The sequence below is a fragment of the Homo sapiens genome, chromosome 6 (genome assembly GCF_000001405.40).
Source record: "Homo sapiens chromosome 6, GRCh38.p14 Primary Assembly".
Taxonomy (NCBI): domain Eukaryota; kingdom Metazoa; phylum Chordata; class Mammalia; order Primates; family Hominidae; genus Homo; species Homo sapiens.
Genome location: NC_000006.12, coordinates 1,495,155 through 1,518,205, shown reverse-complemented (window position 1 = coordinate 1,518,205; position 23,051 = coordinate 1,495,155). Strand labels below are relative to the sequence as shown.

The following is a 23,051-nucleotide window of genomic DNA, read 5'->3' as shown; positions in this document are numbered from 1 at the left end:
ACATTTCATTACATTTTGTTACTGACAGGGTTGAATCGGTTTGAACTAGTTCTGTGGTTACAGAATGCCTTTCAATCTGAAAGGGGATGGTGTTAATGATGACCCCGGGACAGCAGGATAAAATGATACTGCCCTGGGCAAGCTAGAAGGGATGGCCACTATGCTCAGCACTAACCAGTTCCTGCAAGGGCCTCAAAGGGTCTCTGCCTTGACCCACTGGCTTCAATACATGAACATCTCTAAGGATCCCTCATTAAGGTCTTTTTCTTACCTATCAGCCTTGTGTTTTTTTATGTGTTTGCTTTGAATCAGGTTGCAATGTTATAGATTTTTAAAAAGAACACACAAAGCCTTCATATTTTTATAAGTATTCCAAGGAAACAACTGCTTTAAGTTCAGTCTTTCTTCCAGTGGTCTTGCTGGGAGAGCTACCCAAGGGTGACGGCAGAAAAGATGAAGGACAAAATCTAAACAGGCAGGTGCTTCCAGGTTCTCATGGACTTTCTGACTCCTGTATGGGCTAGAATCTGTAAACTTGTAAGTCTACGAATGTGTTTCTTTGGATTTACAGCGGAGTATTTTGTGTGTCTTAAAATCCGCGTTCAATAACGTTCCCCACAGCTAAACAGCTAGATACGGAGATCCAGGGGTGAGTGGCCCCTTCGGCTGCCTGCATCACTCATTCCTGCTTCCTGGCGCTGATTTGGCTGATGGAGGGGTGGAGTTACAGTGACACCTGGGGACAGGTGACTGGCTCTGGCCCTCTCCTTCTTGAAACCATAGTTAATTATCACACCCTTGCCTGACCTGTCTTGTCCTCAGTTGTTCCCCCACCGAAATCCCACTGCTGTTGGTTATTGCTTGTGAAGGTGCTTCCTCTTTAGAAGCCACCACTTCCTGCCTCTCTTGACCAGGCAAACCCCACGCATGCTTTCAGGTCATTGCTCCCCATCTTTCATTCTGCACGGTGTGTCCACCCAGGCTCCTGTTGGAAGTGCTGGTGCTTCACGGAGCAGAGAACCTGCTAGCAAATGAAGAATGGGCACCTCACTTTCCCTGGAAAGAATTCTCTCGCAACACTAACTTTCTCGTAATACAGACTCTGTTGTGTGCATGCTGGGGACTGTCGGTTTGCAGTTAGAGCTCAATAAATCCTGTGGCCTTGAGTTGGCCCCTGGGGTATTGCCGTCCACCTCATAAAACTATTACTTAATTAAGTATGGCTGAGTACAATTGGCAGCCTCTGCTTCTGGCCAGAGCACCAGACCTGAGTGTAGATGTGCTCTGGTCTCCTCTGTGCCTCGAGGCTGGTGGGCCCCTCGTGCTGCAGAGGAGACTTCTCTGCAGAGCTGGAGGGCAGTCCTCTGGGATCATGGAAAACACACACGATTGTTACAGGGCTCCCTCCTGTGCCATCAGAACTCAGCGCTCAGAGGTCGCTGAAGGGCTTGCTTTTGGCAAATTGTGTTTCATAGATGTGACATAATTAAAAATAAATAACAAAAAACCATCTTTGATTGGGGAAATGCCAGGTCAATGGTCATTTAGAAACACTATTTAATATGTGCTTCACTTCAGCAGAGCTTTGAGTAAAGGGGGTTCAGACATTTAGACCCGATTTTTCTGCATTAAAAACGACAGCTTCCAACTTTCCTAGTGATAGTAACAGACAATGATAATAAATGTCAATGGTTTCTGATGCCTGCTTTTGCACATCCGTCATAGAAGGATGTTACATTATTAAAATCTGTAACAATGTAGCTCATGAGATAAGTGTGAGGCCATATGACAGTCACCGGGGGGCTTGGGGCCAAGGAGGGGACTGGCGAACGGCTGCTGCCCGGCAAAGCAACTTCCGAGCACCGCTAGGGTCATCTTGGATCACACGACGGGATAACGTCTTTCAGTTAACATAATTGAGCCTTAGTTCCGTTTAAGACTTTATATAGCTTAATGTAAAAAGGGAGAGACTTCTGCCTGGATTATCCATAAGGTCCTTTCCAACTATGACGACCTTTTAGGACACTGTAAATACTTTTTTCTTCCTGGAAGATATAGCATATGCAGTAGGAAGAACATAAGCCAGATATACTCAGGTTTCAATACAGGGTCTGGGACCTGCTGGTCATGTGACTTTAAAATTACATTCCTTCTAAACCTCATTTCTTCCTCTGGAAAATTGTCTGCTATTCCTTATCTTAGGAGGTGATGGTGAGGCATAAATGAACTATCACATAAGGAGCCTTTCCTTAATTCACCCAATACATATGGCACAAAATGTATTCCCTGATGATTTTTTCTTTTTTTAGACGGTCTTGCTCTGTTGCCCAGGCTAGAATGCAGTGGCATGATCCCGGCTCACTGCAACCTCTGCCTTCCGGTTGAAGCGATTCTCCTGCCTCAGCCTCCTGAGTACCTGAGATTACAGGCATACACAACCAGGCCCAGTTAATTTTTGTATTTTTAGTAGAGACGGGGTTTCACCATGTTGGCCAGGCTGGACTCGAACTCCTGACCTCAGGTGATCTGCCCACCTCGGCCTCCCAAAGTGCTGGGATTACAGGCGAGAGCCGCTGCTCCAGGCCCCAGTGATTATTTTTAAAATTAAAGTAGGCGTTGCCAGCTGTGGCCCCTGCCCCTGCCGTTAGGTGGCGGGATTCCTCGGCCCTTTGGCGGGAGGCGGGCCGGCCTCAGCTTCCTTCCGGGCCTTGGAGCGTGTGCAAGTGCGTGAGTGTGTGTTGACCGACCCCACGGCGTGTGTCTCCGGCCGCGGGTTCCACCTCCTCCCCTGCCGCCGCTGCTCACGGTGTAAGTCAGTGTGAAGCAGCAGCTCGCCGCGGGTTCCACCTCCTCCCCTGCCGCCGCTGCTCACCGTGTAAGTCAGTGTGAAGCAGCAGCTCCAGCCCCGGGATGAACGTGGCAACGTCTCTGCATGAGGGACCCATGAACCAGCTGGATCTGCTCATCTCGGGGGTGGAAGCATCTGCTCACAGCAGTAATGTACACTGTACAGATAAGACAGTCGAAGCTGCTGAAGCCCTGCTTCATGTGGAATCTCCTACCTGCTTGAGGGATTCGAGAAGTCCTGTGGAAGTATTTGTCCCTCCTGTGTATCAACTCCAGAATTTATCCATGCTGCTATGAGGCCAGATGTCATTACAGAAACTACAGTGGAGGCGTCAACTGAAGAGTCTGAACCAATGGATACCTCTCCTATTCCTACATCACCAGATAGCTGTGAACCAAGGAAAAAGAAAACAGTTGGCCATAAACCAAAGACCCAGCAATCACCAATTTCCAGTGGATCTCCTGAGTTAGGTATAAAGAAACTGAGAGAAGGAAAAGGAAACACAACCTATTTGTGGGAGTTTCTTTTAGATCTACTTCAAGATAAAAATACTTGTCCCCGGTATATTAAATGGCCTCAGAGAGAAAAAGGCATATTCAAGCTGGTGGATTCAAAAGCTGTCTCTAAGCTTTGGGGAAAGCATAAGAACAAACCAGACGTGAACTATGAAACCATGGGACGAGCTTTGAGATACTATTACCAAAGGGGAATTCTTGCAAAGATTGAAGGACAGAGGCTTGTATATCAGTTCAAGGATATGCCGAAAAACATAGTGGTCATAGACGATAAAAAAGTGAAACCTGTAATGAAGACTTAGCAGGAGCTATGGATGAAAAATTATTAGAACAATGTCACTGTCTGCAGAAAGTCTCCTGAAAGCAGCATCCTCTGTTCATGGTGGAAGAAATTCATCCCCTATAAACTGCTCCAGAGCAGAGAAGGGTGTGGCTAGATTTGTGAGTATCACTTCCCCTGGTCATGATGCTTCATCCAGGTCTCCTGCTATCACTGCATCTGTATCAGCAACAGCAGCTCCAAGGACAGTTCGTGTGGCAATGCAAGTACCTGTTGTAATGACGTCATTGGGCCAGAAAATTTCAGCTGTGGCAGTTCAGTCAAATAGTGCAGGTGCACCATTAATAATCAGCACTAGTCCAACAACAGCCACCTCTCCAAAGGCAGTCATTCAGGCAATCCCTACTGTGATGCCAGCTTCTACCGAAAATGGAAACAAAATCACCATGCAGTGTCCCCAAATTATTTCCATCCCAGCTACACAGCTCGCTCAGTGTCAACTGCAAAGTCAAATCTGACTGGATCAGGAAGCATTCACATTGTTGGAGCTCCATTGGCTGTGAGAGCCGTTACCCCTGTCTCAATAGCCCATGGTACAGCCGTAATGAGACTATCAGTGCCTCCTCAGCAGGCATCTGGGCAGACTCCTCCTCGAGTTATCGGTGTAGTCATACAGGGGCCGGAGGTTAAATCAAAAGCAGTGGCAAAAAAGCAAGAACGTGATGTGGAAACTTTGCAGTTCGTAGAAGAAAAACTGGCTGATGGAAATAAGACAGTGACCCATGTAGTGGTTGTCAGTGTGCCTTCAGCTACTGCCCTTCCTGTAACTATGAAAACAGAAGGACTAGTGACATGTGAGAAATAAAATAGCAGCCCCACCATGGACTTCAGGCTGTTAGTGGCAGTACTGACATAAACATTGGCAAGGGAAGTCATCAAGAAAAGTCAAAGAAGACTTTAAAACATGTTTAATGCATGTAAGAAAACAAGCGAACTTACTGGAAATAAATTACCTATCCCATGTTTCAGTGGGAAATAAACTATGTATTGAGATGCTGACAGAAAACTGCCTCTTCCAGTAGGAAAAACAACTGAACCCGTCGCTAAGAAAAAGGATTGAAAGGGACCAAGCAGCTCACTAAGATATCAAGTTACACTAAGACTTTGAACACTAAAATTCTGTAAGAGGTTATATAGTTTTCTGTGTCAGTGGGGAGGGGTTGGGATGGGTGATCTCATTGTTACATATAGCAATTTTTGATGCATTTTATGTGTGTACCAGCAATCATTACTGTGTTTGCACAGTACTCAACTGGTGCTATGTGAACACTGTCCTAATATATGTATTTTAGAATGTGAATTGAAGAATGGATCCAAAAACTTCAGAAAGAGGATAGCAAAAAAAGGTCTGGTGTGATTAAAATATATATATAGATGATATAGCTTAAGCTGATTTAAAACAAAGGCCTTAGACTAATTTTCGGTTTTCTTTCTCGAAATAAACTAATGGCTTGTTTGTGTAAAGCTTTTTTATAAAATGAAAAAATTTTAAAATCTTGTACCTAGCACAGTACTGTTACAGAGTTTACATGTAAGATTTTATATGGTAGTTTAAGTCTGTGTTTCTTAATTGTGGACAAATTAACAGTTGGCCCTGGCCTTTTGCTATAACATGTCTGTGTCACTCGCTTAGCCCTGGCATTTCTGCAGCCATATCAGTTTCAGTTCTACTGTCACTTGGAAGTTCAGGATCAGCATGACTTTTTGTTAGGTAGCTCTAATACCTGGAGTGAGCTAGCTTGCTTTCTTTCTTTCTTTCTTTCTTTCTTTCTTTCTTTCTTTCTTTCTTTCTTTCTTTCTCTTTCTTTTTTCTTTCTTTCTCTTTCTTTCTTTCTTTCTTTCGTTCGTTCTTTTCTTCTTTTTCTTCTTTCTTTCTTTTCTTCTTTCTTTCTTTCTTTCTCGCTCTCCTTCCTTCTTTTCTTTTCCTTTTCTATTCTTCTTTTCTTTCCTCCCTCCCTCCCTTCCTCCCTCCCTCCCTTCCTTCTTCCTTTCTTTCTTTTCTTTTTTTTTGTTTTAGTTGAAGTTTATGACGGAAAGTACCAGTGTTCAGATTTGAACTATAATGGTTTGTATATTCAACATTTGAAGTCTGTTCTATTTTGTTGGACTGTTGTTTCAAAGTGTATTTAAGTAGGTTTTCTGAAATTTAGAAATGAAATTTAAAAAATAATAAAAATAAAGTACATATACAATTTGCAATTGCAAAGATATGGAACCAACATAACTGCCCATCAGCCAACGAGTGGATAAAGAAAATGTGGTATATATACACCATGGAATACTACTCAGCCATACAAAGGAATGAAACAATGTCTTTTGCACTAACTTGGATGGAACTGGAGGCCATTATCCTAAGTGATGTAACTCAGGAATGGAAAACAAAATATCGTATGTTCTCACTTATAAGTGGAAGCTACACTATGAGGATGCAAAGGCATAAGAATGATATAATGGGCTCTAGGATCTTGGAAAGAAGGGTGGGAGGGGGTAAGGGACACTGCTCAGGTGACAGGTGCACCGAAATCTCAGGAATCACCACTAAATAATTTATCCATGTAACAAAAAACCACCTGTTCCCCAAAAACTGTTGACATAAAAATAAATATTAAAAAAATAAAGTGGATATACAGGTGACCCTTGAACAGTGTGGGGGTAGAGGCACCGATCCCTGCACAGCTGAAAATCTGAGTATAACTTTTGATTCCCCTATGAATAGCTTGCTGTCATCCAGATGCCTTACTGATAACATAAAGTCTTTAATTAACACATATTTTGTATGTGCATGATGTACTGTTTTCTTAAAGTAAGCTGGAGAAAAGAAAATGGTATTCAGAAAATCACAAGGAAGGAAAAACACGTTTACTGTTCATGAAGTGGATCATCACAAAGGTGTTCATCCTCTTCATCTTCACATCGAGTAGGCCGAGAAGGAGGAGGAAGAGGAGGGGTTGGTTTTGCTGTCTCGGGGGTGGCAGAGATGGAAGAAAATCCATGTCTAGGTGGACCCATGCAGTTCAAGCCCATCTCCTGGGATGAAGGCAGAAGCATCTCCTCTGCCTGGCTCTTCTCTTACACACAAGGCACTGAGGCAGGAGTGCATTGTGGCAGAGGAGGCAGCTTTCTCAAGGAGCTCTGCCAGTGTTATGGCTTGACATGTGACTGCAACTGTGGTGCTCCGTCCAACTTGCCACAGAGTCGGGTGGGAGTCCTCCTGGGCTGGAGCTGGGGCTATGGTAAGTAACGCAGCACAGGCTGCACAGCTGTGTGTTAGGAAGCTCAAAGGATTCTTGAAGAAGTCTGGCCTCATTACTGTCTTATCTCCAATCACAGGTAGCTAGAGGTGGTGGCCATGAACTGCACCCGGTCAGCAGGTGCCCTACTGTGTACCAGGCACTGTTCCAGGCTCTGGGTATACAGCACAGGACAGAATAAACAAAACTCATCTGCTTGGTCCTCATGTCTGGTGGAAGAAAACAGGCAGTACATCAGGTCTGAAGTGGGGAACTCCATCAGTAAATATGTATTGTCTGGGACTGAATTCTCGACCACTGGGTCCTACCACCCCTGAGCAAGAGCTGTGTCCCATTCCTCCTCGTTCTCCTCTGGCTCCTCTTTGTGTCAGGCCCAGGAGATTTGAGTTTGGGGGTGCCCCATTGAACAGGTGCCTGCTGAAAGGTAGCAGGCTGGCCCCAGCACATTAGGCTTGAGTTCCACACAGAAAGTCACTTTCACATGGTAAGACCTTGATGTGGATTGTACAAAAGGCCCAGGGGGCAGGACTTCCTCAGCAAAGCAACCATTTAACTGGAGAAAATTAATTAAAAGGTAAAACATAAACCAACAACCATTTAAAGCCTCTAGTAGTTGTTCTAAGGGCAAACAGCAAAGGGAAAACGTCATTCAAGAAAACCTATGAAATCTCAATCAAAATAGCAAGAGTCTATGGCATTTGAGCCAGGGCTTGTACCCCTACAGCCTTTTCATCAGCTCTGTGTGGTGGGGACTCCCTCTACCCTCAGCTCCCAGTCCAAACTCCAGCTTCACACCAGTGGGGGAGGGCCATGTGCATATCCTGTCTTCCCCAGGCTTATGATGTGGAAATGCTACCTGGTGGGCTCAGCATGGAGGACTGGGACTTCCCTCGTCACATAGCCTCCATTTGTAGGGTGAGAGTTTTGCCCAGGACAAAGAATACAGGGGCTCGATTGCCCTACTCCAGCTCATTGGTAGGAAGGAGCTTCCAGGCCCAGCAATAGAAGATGCATCATTAAGGGACCTTGAGCCTTTCTGGCTCCAGGGACTTGAGCACAGCCTCTGACCACACACTGGCTAAACAACAGTTACTCTGACCCAAGGCTGACTCCTAGGAAGCCAGGTCTAAAAATAAAATCATACCGATTCCTGGTCATTTGGAAGACTGTGCACACGCCGAAGGCTACGCCTTTTTGGGAAAGAGAAACTCTGAGCTACCAGACGCTGGCTAAATGCAGGGCAAAATCATGAACTATCTGAGCAGTGAAAGCAGTCTGCAGCCACACACAGACGCAGTGCTAAAGGTGAAAATCTAATTGGCTAAGCAGCTTAAGCACAGTCTTTTACCAATAAGTGGTTTATGCAGACCCAGGGTGAACCCTAGGATGCTGGGGTAAAAGACATACTCAAGGGGAAAATAGCTGAGCCAGGACATCACACTGCAAGGGAAATAAGACTTCACAGATTCAGCCCAGCCATGTCACTAATCAAGTAAACAACCAAAATGACAAAAAAAAAAAAAAAAAAAAAATCAAGCCACCAAATGGGATGTTAGTATCCAGAGTTACTACAAGGTACTATTTAATGTCCAGTTTTCAACAAAAAATTAGGCTTACAAAGAAACAGAGAATAGCTGATACCCAGGAAAAACAACAGGCAATAGAAACTGCCTTTAAGGGGGCTCAGATGTTGGACCAAGCAGGTGCATACTCAAAGTAGGATTGCAAATGTTTTCAGAGGACTAAGGAAACCACGTGTAAATAATTTTAAAAGGGTTTGATAGCAATGACTCATACATAGAGACCGTCACTAAAGAGAGGAATTACAAAAAAGAGCCAAATGGGAATTTTGGAATGGAAAAGCACAATGACAAAAATTTAAAAATCGCTAGAAATGCTCAACAGGAGATTTGAGTTGTTCAAATAGAAAGGATCAGCAAACTTTGAAGGTAGATATACAGGATAGGTAGAGATTATGCAGCTTGAAGAACGGAAAGAAAAAAATACAGAAAAATGAGCAGAGCCCTGGAGAAATGTTGACCACAAGCTCACCCTACGTAAGCACACACAATGGGAGCACCAAAAAGGCCGTGGAAGATCTCTCTCTCCAGAACCGTTAAAATGTGAGTATTTCAGCTACGCCAGGGGTATTACCTATAACAGATTTTCCAGACTTAAATTTATTATTATTATTATTCTTTAAGAAACAGTGTCTTGTTCTGTCAACTGGGCTGGAGTGCAGTGGTGCAGATTAAAGTTAACTGCAGCCTCCACCTTCTGGGCTCGAGTGATCCTCCTATCTCTGCCTCCTGAGTAGCTGGGAACACAGACACGCACCACTGCATCCAGTGCTGAGTAATGATCTCATTTCTGACATCTCCAGCTATTGTCAAAGGAGGCATCATTCTGGGGGAGGAGTCCTGTGAAGACCTGGATGATCTGGGGAATAAAATGAGGAAAGAATTAGGAGAATTGACGGACATTTCAATAACAAACCTTTTCCATTCCCATCAGCTTAATTTTGTGATGGAGTTTTCCAGAAGTTATATCTACAAAGCACAAAAAGTAGGAAAAGAATTAATTCCGAGCTATGTTGCATTCTGGCAGTGGTATATTTATCCTGTTACATTTTAAAATGAGAAAATTCAAACTGGACGCAGTAGCTCACACCTGTAATCCCAGCACTTTGAGAGGATCACTTAAGCCCAGGAGTTTGAGATCAGCCTGAGCAACACAGCAAGACTCCATCTCTACAAAAAATAGAGTGAGTGTAGTGACATACACCTGCAGTCCCAGCCACTTGGGAGACGGAGGCGGGAGGATCCCTTGAGCCCAGGAGTTCTACAAGGAACCACAATCACGCTACTGCATTCTAGCTTGGGTGACAGTGTGAGAGCCCAACTCAAAAAAAAAAAAAAAAAAAAAAAAAGAACATTCATCATATGAGTGATACATTTCCAATTAAAATTTCCTCCTTGCATTAACACAATTTGTAAATCAGCATTTATAACATTTATGTTGTTTTCATTAGTTGCATACAATAACAACATCGTAATCATGATTCAAACCAGAAAATACTTTAAACTCCTGAAGTCTTTTGGTCACGGGGAATAGAGAACTTTTTTTTTTTTTTTTGAGACAGGTTCTCACTCTCGCTCAGGCTGGGGTGCAGTGGTGCAAGCACGGCTCAATATAGCCTCAACCTCCTGGGCTCAAGCAGTCCTCCTGCCTCAGCCTCCCAAGTAGCTGAGACTACAGGCACACACACCATGCCTGGTTAATTTTAAAAAATTATTTTTTAGAAATGGGGTCTCATTATGTTCCCCAGGCTGAACTTGAACTCCTGGCCTCAAGCAATCCTCCTGCTTAGGCCTCCTAAAGTGCTGGGATTAGAGGCGTGAACCACCGCACCCAGCCTCCAAACTTTTTTGACTGAGAACTATGATAAGCAATACATTTTACATTGCAACAATCTGACACTTATATGTGTGTGTGGATTGGAAACAGAAATTTCTTGAAATAATACTTATTCTTACTATATGTGATTTACTCCAATTTTAAAAATTCTATTTCCTTAAATTTTTTAAAATTTGATTTTTATTAATTTATGTATTTCTTTTCTTTTAATTTTTAAGTTTTTAATTTTGCAAGAGACAGGGTCTGTGTTGCCTGGGCAGGCGTGGCTACTCACAGGTGTGATCCCACCACTGATCGGCACAGGAGTTTCAGCTGCTCTGTTTCCAAAGCAGGCTGGTTCATTCCTTCTTAGGCAGCCTGGTGGCCCGCTGCTCTTCATGCTGAACTTAGTGCAGATACCTGATGGGTGTCACCCGATGGGCACCGCGCACTGCAGGGCAGAACTCCTGGGTTCAAGCAATCCTTGAGCCTCCCAAGCAGCTGGGACTACAGGCACCTGCCACCCTGGCTGGCTATTTCTTTTAAAATTTTCTTTATATTGGTGGTCACAGCCCATTGCAATGATCTCAGGACCCTCTAATGGGCAGCCTGCTGGATGAGAAATGCTGTGCTAGAGGGTGCTTCTGCCTACTCTTTTTTTTTTTTTTTGAGTGGAATTTCACTCTTTTTGCCCAGGCTGGAGTGCAGTGGCATGATCTCGGCTCACTGTAACCTCTGTCTCCTGGATTCAAGTGATTCTCCTGCCTCAGCCTCCTGAGTAGCTGGGATTACAGGTGTACACCACTAAGCCCGACTAATTTTCTATTTTTAGTAGAGACAAGGTTTCACCATGTTGGCCAGGCTGGTCTCGAACTCCTGACCTCAAGTGATCCTTCCACCTCGGCCTCCCAAAGTGCTGGGATTACAGGCGTGAGCCACTGCGACTGGCCTCTTCTGCCCACTCTTAACCAAAAGATCGAGAAATGCCTTGTCCTGCAGAACCAGCGGGTTCTCAGCATCTCTTGCCTGCTCTTCAGTGCTCTTGTATCCTGCCTGATTGCTGTGATTCCTTCAACATTTATTCATCCCACCGGTGAAGGTAACAGTGATTTGCTGAGCATTAACTGTATATCAGACACTGTTCTGGGCTCTCAGAATACGTCATGGAACAAAATAAGCAAACAGATGCCTGTCTTTGTTATTCTCAAATCCTGGTTGAGGGAAACAGATAGTAAGCAAGGTAAATAAGTGGAGTCAATAGCTTGTTACATGGTGACAGGGGCTATGAAGTAAAATAAAGCCAGGGCAGAGGTTGCAGTGAGCCGAGATCGTGCCTCTGCACTCCAGCCTGGGCGACAAGAGCAAGATTCCATCTCAAAATAAATAAATAAATGAAATAAAGCCAGGAAAAGGCAATGGGGGGTGTGGGGTGCATGCTTGAATAAAGACTGGGAAGAGATGAGAAATGAGCCTCAGAAATAAACTTTATAGGCAGAGGGAGCAGCAGGTACAAAGGCCCTGTTGGGGGACCATGCCTGGAAAGTTCAAGGAGTTACAAGGACAGAATGGCTGGGGTGGCCTGAGCAAGAAGAATAGACAGAGAGTTCAGAGAAATAACGATCCAGTTACACAGGGCCTCGCCACCCGTGTAAGACTCTGCTTGGCTCACAACCCTTGGAGAGTTCTGAGCAGTGGGCTGGTGTGATCAGACACATATTTTAACAGCGTTGCTTTGGCTCCTGTGTGGAGATTAGGATGAAGGGTGCAAGGAAGGACCCAGGGACACCAATTAGAAAGCCCATATAGCACACAGGCAAGAGAAGAGCTGGGTGGTCAGCCCGGGGCACAGCGGTGGAACTGGCAAGTGCTGGCTGCCTTCGGTGCTATCTGGAAGGTAGAGTTACGGGACCCGCTCATGGGTCGGATATGGGGTTCGAGAGACAGGACTCATGGAGGGGTCCCTCATCTAACACAAGGGTGCTGGCCTTGAGTCCCATTCCATTCAATGTAATTTTAGCTGGTGGGGACTGACGGAGATATTTACACTAATAAAGAAGGTGCTGGAAGCTCAAGATCCCATCTCCATTAAAACAACAACAACAGAAAACCAGATCTGATTGTCTGATTCTGGCAGGAGAGGGAATTGAAGCAAATGCGTGGATGCAGCCCCTGTCCCAATGCCCTTCTCTGTCCCCAAATCTCATGCTCCTGACCACTCTGACGCAGTCCACATGTGGCCCTGGCTCACTGCTAGCAGAGCTGCTATGTCCTAGATAACGGTGGTTTCCAGTTTTCTTCTTTAATCTGAGCAAAAGGAAAGTGATGGGGGAGACACCAGGTATTCCCTGTTTGTGCCGTGCCTGTGTCTGGACAGAAGGAAACTCTCCCCTGGCTGTCTGTGCCGCTTTCTGCTCTGTCTGCTCATTTCTGCATCTTGAGGGTGGCTGAGGATGGGACAAAGAGCTCCACTCCATCACTACGAGGTGAGGGTCACCTTCCAGGGTGTGCCGATGTCCCCCTGCGGCCATCCCAGTGCCACCTGGGACCTTCTGGGCTCCCTGCACCCAAGTCTGAGGCAAGGAGGCCAGATAGCCTTGTTCTTCCTGAGGCAGCCAGTCTGGGTGTCTGGGAGGGGGTACAAGGAAGTTGGTGCCCTATTTTTCCATTTCTGACCATCTAGTTTCACTGATACTGTTTTTAACAAATGCTACATATTTGTGCTCTGGAGGGACTATCTTTATGTAGCTAGCAGAACTAAATGAATCCTTTCAGGGATCCTAACATGAATTATTGGCTTTAATGGCTTCTCCATTCTGCTTAAGCAGAATTCCATCTTGCAGTTTGTAACACTTGCTTCACTGGTGCCTCCTTGCTCCCCACCAGCTTCATTCTTCAGTGCTTCACCTGAACATGGAGGGATGCCATGCTGTTCAAGACAGTCTTGCAGGGAAAAATAAACTACATGTTTTTGGTGACTGGATGGGATTAGGCCACCCTGTATGCCCTGTAAAACATGTAGCGTGCACAGTTTCTGCTAAGTAGAAAATGGAGAATGCAGAGGTGGAAAGCCTTGTAAAGAAAACCACATGTTCTGGCATGCAGGTCACTTGCTATCCTCCTGAGAAGTGTCTTCAGTTCTGGCTTGGACATGCGGATCCATCAATGCCACCTCCGGCAGCACTGCTGGGATTCAAACGCGAGGCACGGCCTCTTGGCAGGCAGCGTGGTCTTAGCGCTCTGCACTCTCCCAGTCCCAAACCAGCAGGCTGCTTTCTTACTTCGTTAGCGTTTTGACTGGAGCAGTTCTTGATTAGTGGTTTCTTTGAGCAAATTGTTCTTCAGATGGATGGGTCAATGCTTGCTCAATGAAATCATTCTTGTTAAATCAAGGTTATTCTAGATAATGCTTCCCTCCATGGAATTCATTTTTCTGTGTCTAAGTGAGACGTTGCAGTGCATTATGCACTGAGGAAATGCATTTACATTAGGAGAGGTTAGATAAAGGGGCTTCCCTGTTGCTGAGGGTCTCTTCTGGTCCATCTGGTGCTGCTGCTACTGGGATTCCCAGCCCATAGGCTTCAATACAGGCCCTCTTGTGGTTTTCATGCAAGTCCTGAGCAGGAAAAAAGACTTAAGGATTTGGCCAGAGAAGGTTTTCAGAGCCAAATATCCAGGCTGTTTTTTTTTAATGGACTTTGCTGATTTTGGCAAACTTTTCCATTTATAACACTTAGTACATTTACAAATAATAATGTGAGTTGAGACGGGAGAGCAAGTGTTTCCTGATGATACAGTCAGATTTCATTGTTTATGATACCACCACAAAAAGAGGCAATTTCAATGTTTTGCACACATGCATTGTTTTAATAACATGTTTTTGCCAGGCGAATTAGTAGCACATGGAGATGGGTGTTATATGTGTGGGTGTGAGCACTGACAAAGTCTTCCTCAGTTGAGATGGTTTATACGCTAAACTGGACCATTTGCAGATTGGTACACAGAAAGTGACTAAGTGCAGAGAATACTTTGACATAGATATTTTAAAAACAAGCATACAAAAATAATTCTTGGAGTAATAGGCAATAAATTTAAAACAATAAAATGTAAAAAGATAGATTCATGATTTTTAGGAGCCAGTGATGCTATTTCACTTGTTGTTACAAGCTCGTGCATGGAGTCCAGGCTTCTTCTAGTATAGTAGGTCCAAATGAGGTGAGTTGCTATGCGGAGGTGCAGAAAAACTTGAAGAAACAGCCAAAGCCAATTGAAGCATGAAAATATGTTGAAGACTTAGACTGATGTCATGGATGTGAGGTAAAGCAGAGAGAATTCCTGTTCAGTATACCTTTCATCCAGCTTCCCCTAATGTTAGCATCTGACACATTTGTATTACAATGGTCAAAATCAGGAAATTAACATTAGTCCAATATTAAGTAAAGTACAGACCTTGGTTGGTTTTCTATTAATGTCCTTTTTTCTGTTGCAGGATGCAATCCAGGGTCCCATATTACAGTTAGCTGCCATCTGTCCTGAGTGTCCTCCAATTATCACAGAGACCATTAGTAACAACAATGACAATCGTTACACTTTACATTTCCACCTTGTCTCACGGGATTATACTGCTTAGGTTTCATCCTAGGGATGTAGGATTCCGTCTCGCAGTGCAGCATCTCAGGAGTCAAAGCCCTGTGAGCTAACTTCTCTGGCATGAAGCTCTCTGATAGCTTCTCTGTGTTCATGAGACTTAGCCATCAAGAAAGTGGGAGTTCTTTGATTTGTGAGATTATTCAATATCAGAAAAGCACTAATTGCATTCTACACATCTTCATACGGAGAACAGTAAATAAATAAACACATCAACAAATAAATAGCTACCATTTACTGGGAATGCCAGGAAATATGAACCTGATTTATTTTTCTGTTTTCTCTTTTTACAGTTTCACTATGTTTTATTTTTTCATATAGCCCCCTGTTCTGTTTCTAAAAGTCATCATGGATGGTGGCACTTTAACTTTTTACAGTTGTGGTTCCTGGCATTGACCTTTGACATTACCGTTACAATGATGATAATAAAGATAATGAAAACTATTTTATATGCAATTTCTATCCTGAAATTTATAGGGCTTTAATATTTCTTCCCTTATTCATCCTCAGAGCATACCTGGGAAGTAGGAGAGAAAATTGTTAGTACCTCCATCACGTGGGCGACATCTGTCATTTCAATTTGATATTTGCATCGACTTGGACACCCGCACTCACCTCTTGGCAATGCTTTGTTTCCTTGTCTCTTAGGACGGAACATGCTGCTGGTTTTTCCATGTCTCGGTCTCCTTCTGCTGAGTATTCTTCTATTTCAATCATGGGTGTAGCAGCCCATTTCAACATACTGAAAACACTCACCCTAGGTAAGTATCCATCCCTGTACCTCTGCTCCATTTAAATGGCAGCTGCTCTGGGTTCCAGGTGGCAGTGTTAGCACCTGTTCGTTTACTAATGGAGGTCTAGAACATAAGGTGCAGCATCTGGCAAAGAGTACGGGCTTGGGAATTAACTGCTGAGTAAACCTCATTCCAATCCTGTCTGTCTCTCCAAACTCCAGACCACATATCCGACGACTTGCTCAACATCTCCAGATTAACAGCTCACAGGACTTCACACTTGACATTTCCCAAGCCTGCTTCCTGCCCAGGATGCCCTTTTGTAGAAAGCAGCCCCACCGTACAAGCCATTGTCAGGCCGGCTTCCTGGGAGACTGACTCCAGTCTCCTCCCATCACCTCATTTCACATATTAATTCACCGCCAAATCTTGGTGTTTCTCTTTCCTGAATAGTTCTCACACTTATCCACGTCTCCTTCACCCCCACTGGCACGACCCGGATGTGGGACAGCACCAGCTCTCTCCACTGCAGCCCCTTCCCTGGCTTCCAGTCTCATTCCCCGTCAGTCCCTTCTCTTCTCTGCTACCAGGGTAGAACTTTTTTTTTTTTTTGAGAAGGAGTCTTGCTCTGTCACCCAGGCCTCAGTTCAGTGGCACGGTTTTGGTTCACTGCAACTTCTGCCTCTCAGGTTCAAGCAATTCTCCTGCCACAGCCTCCCGAGTAGCTGAGATTACAGGCACCCACCACCACACCCGTCTAATTGTTACTTTTTTTTGGTAGAGACGGGGTTTCACCATGTTGGCCAGGCTGGTCTTGAACTCCTGACCTCAGGTGATCCACCCGCCTGGGCCTCCCAAAATGCTGGGATTCCAGGCATGAGCCACCGCACCTGGCCCCAGGGTAGAACTTTTAAAATGCAATCTGGTCAGCATTGTGGCCCAAAAGCCTTCAATAGTTTCCCAGTTCACTCAGGAGAAAGCCATATTTTTCAGGTTTTGACTCGTGTCAATTTTAAGGAAGACTTCTTACATCTGGACCCAACACACACATACCCGCGTGAGTGCACACACACACACACACACGTGAGTGCACACACACGCACACACACATATTTTGATGGGTCATGATGCTCAGATAAGGAATAAAGATGTGTGGGATAAAGATAAATGTAAGTAAAGAGTAAAGCCCATCTGCACTGTGTTCCTGTCCCCGCCACCCTCCCTGGCCTCTCGCGGCCAGGTCTGAAGGGCTGTGTTCTCACGTGGTGAGACATGAGGTTTCCTCCACCTGCAACGACCCCACCCCCAGCAAACATCCCCCTCACCTCTTTCACTCCACCCTTTAGGGCTCAGCCGACATGTGCCTTCTCCATGGAGGCTGTGCCCGACACGCCCTCCCTCCTCCCAGCCTTAGTTCCAGCCTGTTAACTTTCAGCCTGTGTCACTTATGAGATGAATAATGATGTTTTCGCTCCATGAGGGCAGGGGCTGCGTTTGTCTTTCTCACTGCTATATTCAGAGTGTCCGGCCTCAGACAAGTACTAGATATTTGCTAAGTTACCAGATTGATTAATCAGACTCTTTCTGTGTCCTGGTCAAGCTCATGAACTTAAATCTGTGAAGATAAAAACATTGCTTCCTGATTGAAAATGAATTATTTGGCAGTGTGAAACTGGTTTGGGTTTCTCAGCTGGGTATCCAGGAGTACCATATCTTATATAGTTCAAGAGGACATTTATAGAACTGTAAATTCATGCGCGCTTAATGCTTAACTATTTAAATAGCCTTACAATTCCTTTAGTACATCATAAATGTCTAAGTTAAACAGCCCTTGGGTTCCTAAGATAAAAAACAGCAAATGAGATTTTATGATCAAATTGAAAATTAAATTGTAGATCTATACAATATATAAATTCTGGCAATACTGTGCTTACCTTAGTTGAAAATGTTATTTCGCTCATACAGTTCAGTATATTTTGAGCATCAACATAACTGTGTGATTATTGATACATTACTTTTATCCAGCTAGATACATTATACCACAATAGTAAAAACTGGAGAGAAACTTTTAATAACAACTTTATTAATCCATTGGCCAAATACATGTCATTATTAGAATGACATGGAGACCAAGATCTTAGGTTAGAAGTGTCTAACATTACTCTTTAGTATTTTCTTATTGTTTTATCATTGTAATGCTCTGCCTTATATTTGTTAAAATTTCTCAGCATAATTGATTCTTAGAAATCTTCTTCATCATACCCCAAACCCTCCATATCGTCCTCTGAAGGCAATTGTCCAGCCTGTACCTCCCTCCTGAGGCGCGTGTGCTGGAGCAGGCTCGGGCCTGGCTGAAGTCAAGTGTTTCATGCTCAAACAGCTAGAATGATGAGAAGGGCCTCACGTATGTGGAGTTGGAATCCTCCCCCATAGCTTTGGCCTCCTGGCTGTCTCTCTATCTGACTTCTGAATCCAACAGAACAAGGCCAAGTCTGTTTCCAAAGCCAGCTCCCCGGGAACTTAAAGGCAGCGGCTCACATCTGCTAGAATGTCCTCCAGCCGCCCTCGATTCCAGCCAGTTATCCCTAGTGTGGCATGATTTCTGCCTCTGTCAAAGACTTGGTCTCCCTTTTTGGAATCTAGGAAACCCACACTGCTTTTCAGAGGGAAAAAGGGAGCCCCTTAGTCAGTGTATCAGCCAGGGCCCAACAGGGAAATTTGAACAGGGAAAATTTAATATAAAGAATTATTAGCCAGGCACGGTGGCTCATGCCTGTAATCCCAGCACTTTGGTAGGCCTAGGCGGGCAGATCACCAGAGGTCAGGAGTTTAAGACCAGCCTGGCCAACAGGGTGAAACCCCGTCTCTACTAAAAATACAAAAAAAATTAGCCGGGCGTGGTGGTGTGTGCCTGTAATCCCAGTGGGAGGCTGAGGCAGGAGAATCACTGGAACCCGGGAGGTGGAGGCTGCAGTAAGCCGAGATCGTGCCACTGCACTCCAGCCTGGGTGACAGAGCGAGACTCCATCTCAAAACAGAAAACAACAACAAAAATAATTATTAACATAACAGGGGACTGGCGTCCTGAAGGATTGGCTAGTTAGAAGTGGACTCAAGAGTAAAGAAATAGCATATATATAAGGAGTGGCCAGCCCCCCATGGGCTGAGATACATTTCCCAAGAAAGGGCTCCTGTTCCCCAACCTGAGGTTCAAACCTAGTTAGAAAGATCTAATCAGCCATGGTTATGCCTCCCTGAATGGCAGAGAAACTGCTCTGGTACTGTATGGGAGGACTTTCTGGAAATCCATCCTTCAGAACTTGCTAGAAATCTCCCCTCTAGTATCAGGGGAAAGGTATTCACCAAGAGACATCTTGCCAAAGGCCTGAACCCAAGGTGGAGGTCTGGAAGGGAGTCCCTGGCCACTGGGGATTGCTGGCTGCCATGTCCTACAGGAGCCTCGACAAGAGGGCCCACTGGAACCAGGACAGAAAGCCCCTTCCTTCTATAATCTTTCTCTAATGCCCTCTACTGACAAAGCTTAGCACTGCCAGCTGGCAAAAGAAGCATACTTAGTGGGCCAGCTATGTTTTGTAGGTAGACAATGAATGGGTGAACATGGAGCTGTTGATAAACTGACAGTGGGCACAGGTGACGGACAGGTGGCTTGGGTCATGCCATGAACACATCCCTGTGTTTGCCCTGAATCCCTGCCTTCTGCTGAAGCTGAGTCATGTTGGTGCTGTGAACACTTTGGGCTGGAGGGAGCATCTGGGGTGGGCGGACCCGCATGGTGAGGGAGCATGAGACATGGCTGCTGTGGTGTGGGCTGGGAGGCTCGTGTGACCCACTGGCCCCAGATGGCAGATGCCTGGGAAAGAGTACTGGGCTATGTGCCCACATCCCGCCCTCTCCTCACCCTGGCCACGTCTCACCCAGGTTGAAGGCCCTGCAGCAGTGGGACACTTGACCTCCGTAAGATGAGGCTCTGCTCTGCTGAAGTCCCAGTTAACTGCAAGGGTCCAGTGAGGCAGCGGGAGAGCAGGATGCAGGTGCGGGCTGCTGGTGGGGCCGTTTCCCACTAGTATTATGAGTCGGCTTGGTCCCAGGTCTTTGTTCATGGATGGCTTTTTGCTTCTGAGATAGAGTCTGTGGTGGAGGAAAATAACCTCATGCATTAAAGAAAGTAGTTTTGAGGGGGTTAGGTGCATTTGTCCATTGGCCTGGGTCTCTGACTCTCTCCAATGATAAAGCACACATTATGACCCAGACTCCCCCAGTCACACCCAAGGGTGCTTGCCCTGTGCCTAACAAATTGCTGCAGGCCTGCAGGCCTCAGGAAGAGCAGCCCATCTCAAATGAGAAGGTTTCAGAGGCAGGAACAGTGAGTAAGGCACAATCCCACAGGCGCCCAGCTCAGACCAGCAGGATCTGAGGCCAGGGCCTGGCAGACGGAGCTGAGGGGAGAGGCTGCAAGTTCCCTTTTTGAAGAATTTGGTAGCACAACACAGGCACAGGAGAGCTGGAAGTGCAGACACAAAGGGGACACCTGGGGAAGCTTGAATGTTGAAAACAACCACGTGGTAGGGAGGATGCTGTGAGGTGACCTGACAGAGGAAAAAGAGCTTTCCCAGATGAAGGATTCAGCTCTGTTGCTGTGAACTGAGCTTCTACTCCAAGGACAGGCACTCTCCCTGCGGGATGCTGCAGAGCCCCCCTCGCTTGTACCAGACACCCCTGCAATCTGGGCCAAGGTTGTGTCCCACAGCACTGGCCAAGAGAGCCGCTTGCCAGTGGTTTCCTTGCTCTACATAAACCAGACACGGGCTCTGCTTGCCAAGCGCACTTTGCTGTCAGGCTGGGGGGGCTCGGGCCTGGCTCTGGGCTCTGCAGAGGGGAAAGTCAGTGTGCCCATCTGCTGCCCACCCTGGCCCTGCCTGGCTGGCCCAGCATCACACACGTCATTCATGACAGGAGCTTGCAGAGCTGAGTGAAATGCGAGATCCTTAATGGAACACTGAGCATCCTGTTTGTCCCTTTTTTTCAGCAGGTGGGACTTGTGCCTAACCTAACAGCCTGACTGTGGGAGCCAGGCTCACAGGGCAGCCATCTGTGCTGGTGCCTGAAAAACTCTGGCAGGTTTGGCCCTCCCCCCAGCACCCTGAAGAAGAGGCCCTGGGGTAGCATGCACAGGCGTGACCTAGGACTCCAGCCTGGCAGGTTTGGCCCTCCCCCCAGCACCCTGAAGAAGAGGCCCTGGGGTAGCATGCGCAGGCGTGACCTAGGACTCCAGCCTGGCAGGTTTGGCCCTCCCCCCAGCACCCTGAAGAAGAGGCCCTGGGGTAGCATGCGCAGGCGTGACCTAGGACTCCAGCCTCCTTGGCCGGTTGTCGTCACACCCCTGGGGCTTTTCCTATTCTCATGATCACGGGAGGTGGGCACAGTATTTCCATTGTACACAAGGGAGGAGTTCACATAATCATAACTTTCATTCTTGTCCCTGTATAGTATTTCAATTTCAGTTTAGTACATATGATTATCCAGTGTCTGAGTAAGAATATGCAGTGAGTTGGTATTCCTACTAGAGCAGTGAGAACTCAGTACTTGGGGAATGTGAATTACAGACAGGTCAATCGTCCTTTTAAGGAGGTATGAGGGTTGAATTATGTCCCCCGAAGTTTATATGTTGAAGTTCAAAGCCCCAGTACCTCAGAATGTAACTCTATTTGGAGATAGGGTCTTTACAGGAGCAAAGGAGTAAAAATGTAATCTTTAGAGTGGGCCCTAATCCCACCTGACTGGTGTCATTATTAGAAGAGGAGATGAGGATACAGACACACACACAGGGGAGGTGATGTGAGGACACAGGGAGAAGACACCACTTACAAGCCAAAGAGAGACCTCAGGAGAAACCAACTCCATAGACACCTAAATCTTGGACTTCCAGCCCAAGAATGGTGAGAAATAAAATTCTGTTTAACCATCCTGTCTGCAATATTTTGTTATGGCAGCCCTAGCAAACCAGTATAGGAGGTCAGGCAGTGTTCTAGCTTTTCATTGCTGCACAAGAAATTATTCCAAAACCTAGTGGTTTAAAATAACAGTCATATATATACATATAGTTCATGACTTTGTGGGTCAGGATTTCAGGCAGGGCTCAGCCAGGCGGTTCTTATTCTCTGTGTGGAATTGCCTGGCATCACTTGGTGGTATTCAGTGGGCAGACTGGCCAGTCTGGGTGGTCTGAGACTCACATATCTGATGCTGAGGGTGGGGTGTAGAAAGTGAGACACCCGAGCACAGCTGGGCTTAAAGACTGGAGTGCAGCTGCAGTCCACGGCCTCAGGGTAGCTGGACTTCTTATACGGTGGCTCGGGGATCTAAGAGCGAGGGTTCCAAAGAGCAACTGTAGGGCTATTTGTGACCTCACAGTAGAATGCAGCATCATTTCCACCACCATACTCTACTAGTCAGAGGAGCCAAGAGCCCACTCAGCTTTAAAAGGTGCAGGGAATTGTCCCCACCTCTCAGTAGGAAGAAAGGCAAAGACCTTAGTGTCCAACTGCCCTATGTGGCACCTTGGGGAGATCATGTGGGGCATGTTGGCATTCGGTGTATACCAGCCCCTGTCATTTCAGTAACAAGCTGACTGGATTTGGACAAATCCCTTGGGCTTTAGCTTCTACCCTGTAAAAACGATAAGAGAGATCAAAGGATCTCAGAGATGTTTCCAGTGCTAAGATTGTAGGAATGGATGTGCACCAGTAAAGTCTTGTTCAAATGCTATCTAAGTGTATCAAATATCTCCTGGGAAGTCAAGGGTGCGGTGTCTGAGAGGGTCTGAGGAGGGATGCATTTTGCTCTGCATTTGTGGTTGAATGACTAGAACTGGATTTGGGGCAGCTTCTGCTGTCTGCTTCTCTCTGGATCTGCTGACTCATGTGCCTGGGCCCCGATATGCTTTTGGAGGTAGAAGTGGGGCTTCCCATGTGAGAACGATGACAACCATTCTCATAACCACCATCAGAATGTCTGGAGCTGTGGGGCACAGGACAGGGGACAGATGAGAGTCCCAGAACAAGTGTCAGTGATGAATGAACAAGCGACTGTTAGGCTGATGGGGATAGGGATGTGGGGACACTGGAGCAGGTCTCTAGGGACACCTCAGTGCCTGGGAGTTTGGTCTCTGAGTAAGGGAGGATGTGACTATTCACTGTGGTGTTTACTTATTCATCTCTACTTAGAAAAATAACGAGTGCCTAATGGAGCCCACCAGAGTGGGCACAGGAACTCAGGTGTGAGTCCCTTAAGTCTGGAGAAGGC

General features: G+C 45.9%; 2 long non-coding RNA genes and 2 pseudogenes across 5 annotated transcripts in view; 2 read left to right on the top strand and 2 right to left on the bottom strand.

The window, feature by feature from the left end:
* LOC102723944 (uncharacterized) overlaps nucleotides 1-23,051 on the top strand; it is a 102,009-nt gene that overhangs the window by 37,081 nt on the left and 41,877 nt on the right. The window contains exon 3 of the long non-coding RNA XR_427861.4: nucleotides 15,643-15,755. This is a non-coding gene — a long non-coding RNA (uncharacterized LOC102723944). The remainder of the gene's footprint in view (nucleotides 1-15,642; nucleotides 15,756-23,051) is intronic.
* Nucleotides 2,641-5,865, top strand: ELF2P2 (ELF2 pseudogene 2; annotated as a pseudogene).
* On the bottom strand, nucleotides 5,697-22,109 carry LOC124901238 (uncharacterized). Of its 4 annotated transcripts, none has more exons than XR_007059399.1 (4): nucleotides 21,983-22,109; nucleotides 19,664-19,877; nucleotides 9,292-9,393; nucleotides 5,697-5,842 (listed from the first exon to the last, which is right to left on the bottom strand). It is a non-coding gene; the product is annotated as an uncharacterized LOC124901238 (long non-coding RNA). The 4 variants fall into 4 exon arrangements; XR_007059400.1 differs by lacking the exon at nucleotides 5,697-5,842 and adding an exon at nucleotides 6,924-7,163; XR_007059398.1 differs by lacking the exon at nucleotides 5,697-5,842 and having other exon boundaries at nucleotides 9,119-9,393.
* On the bottom strand, nucleotides 10,608-10,884 carry RN7SL352P (RNA, 7SL, cytoplasmic 352, pseudogene; annotated as a pseudogene).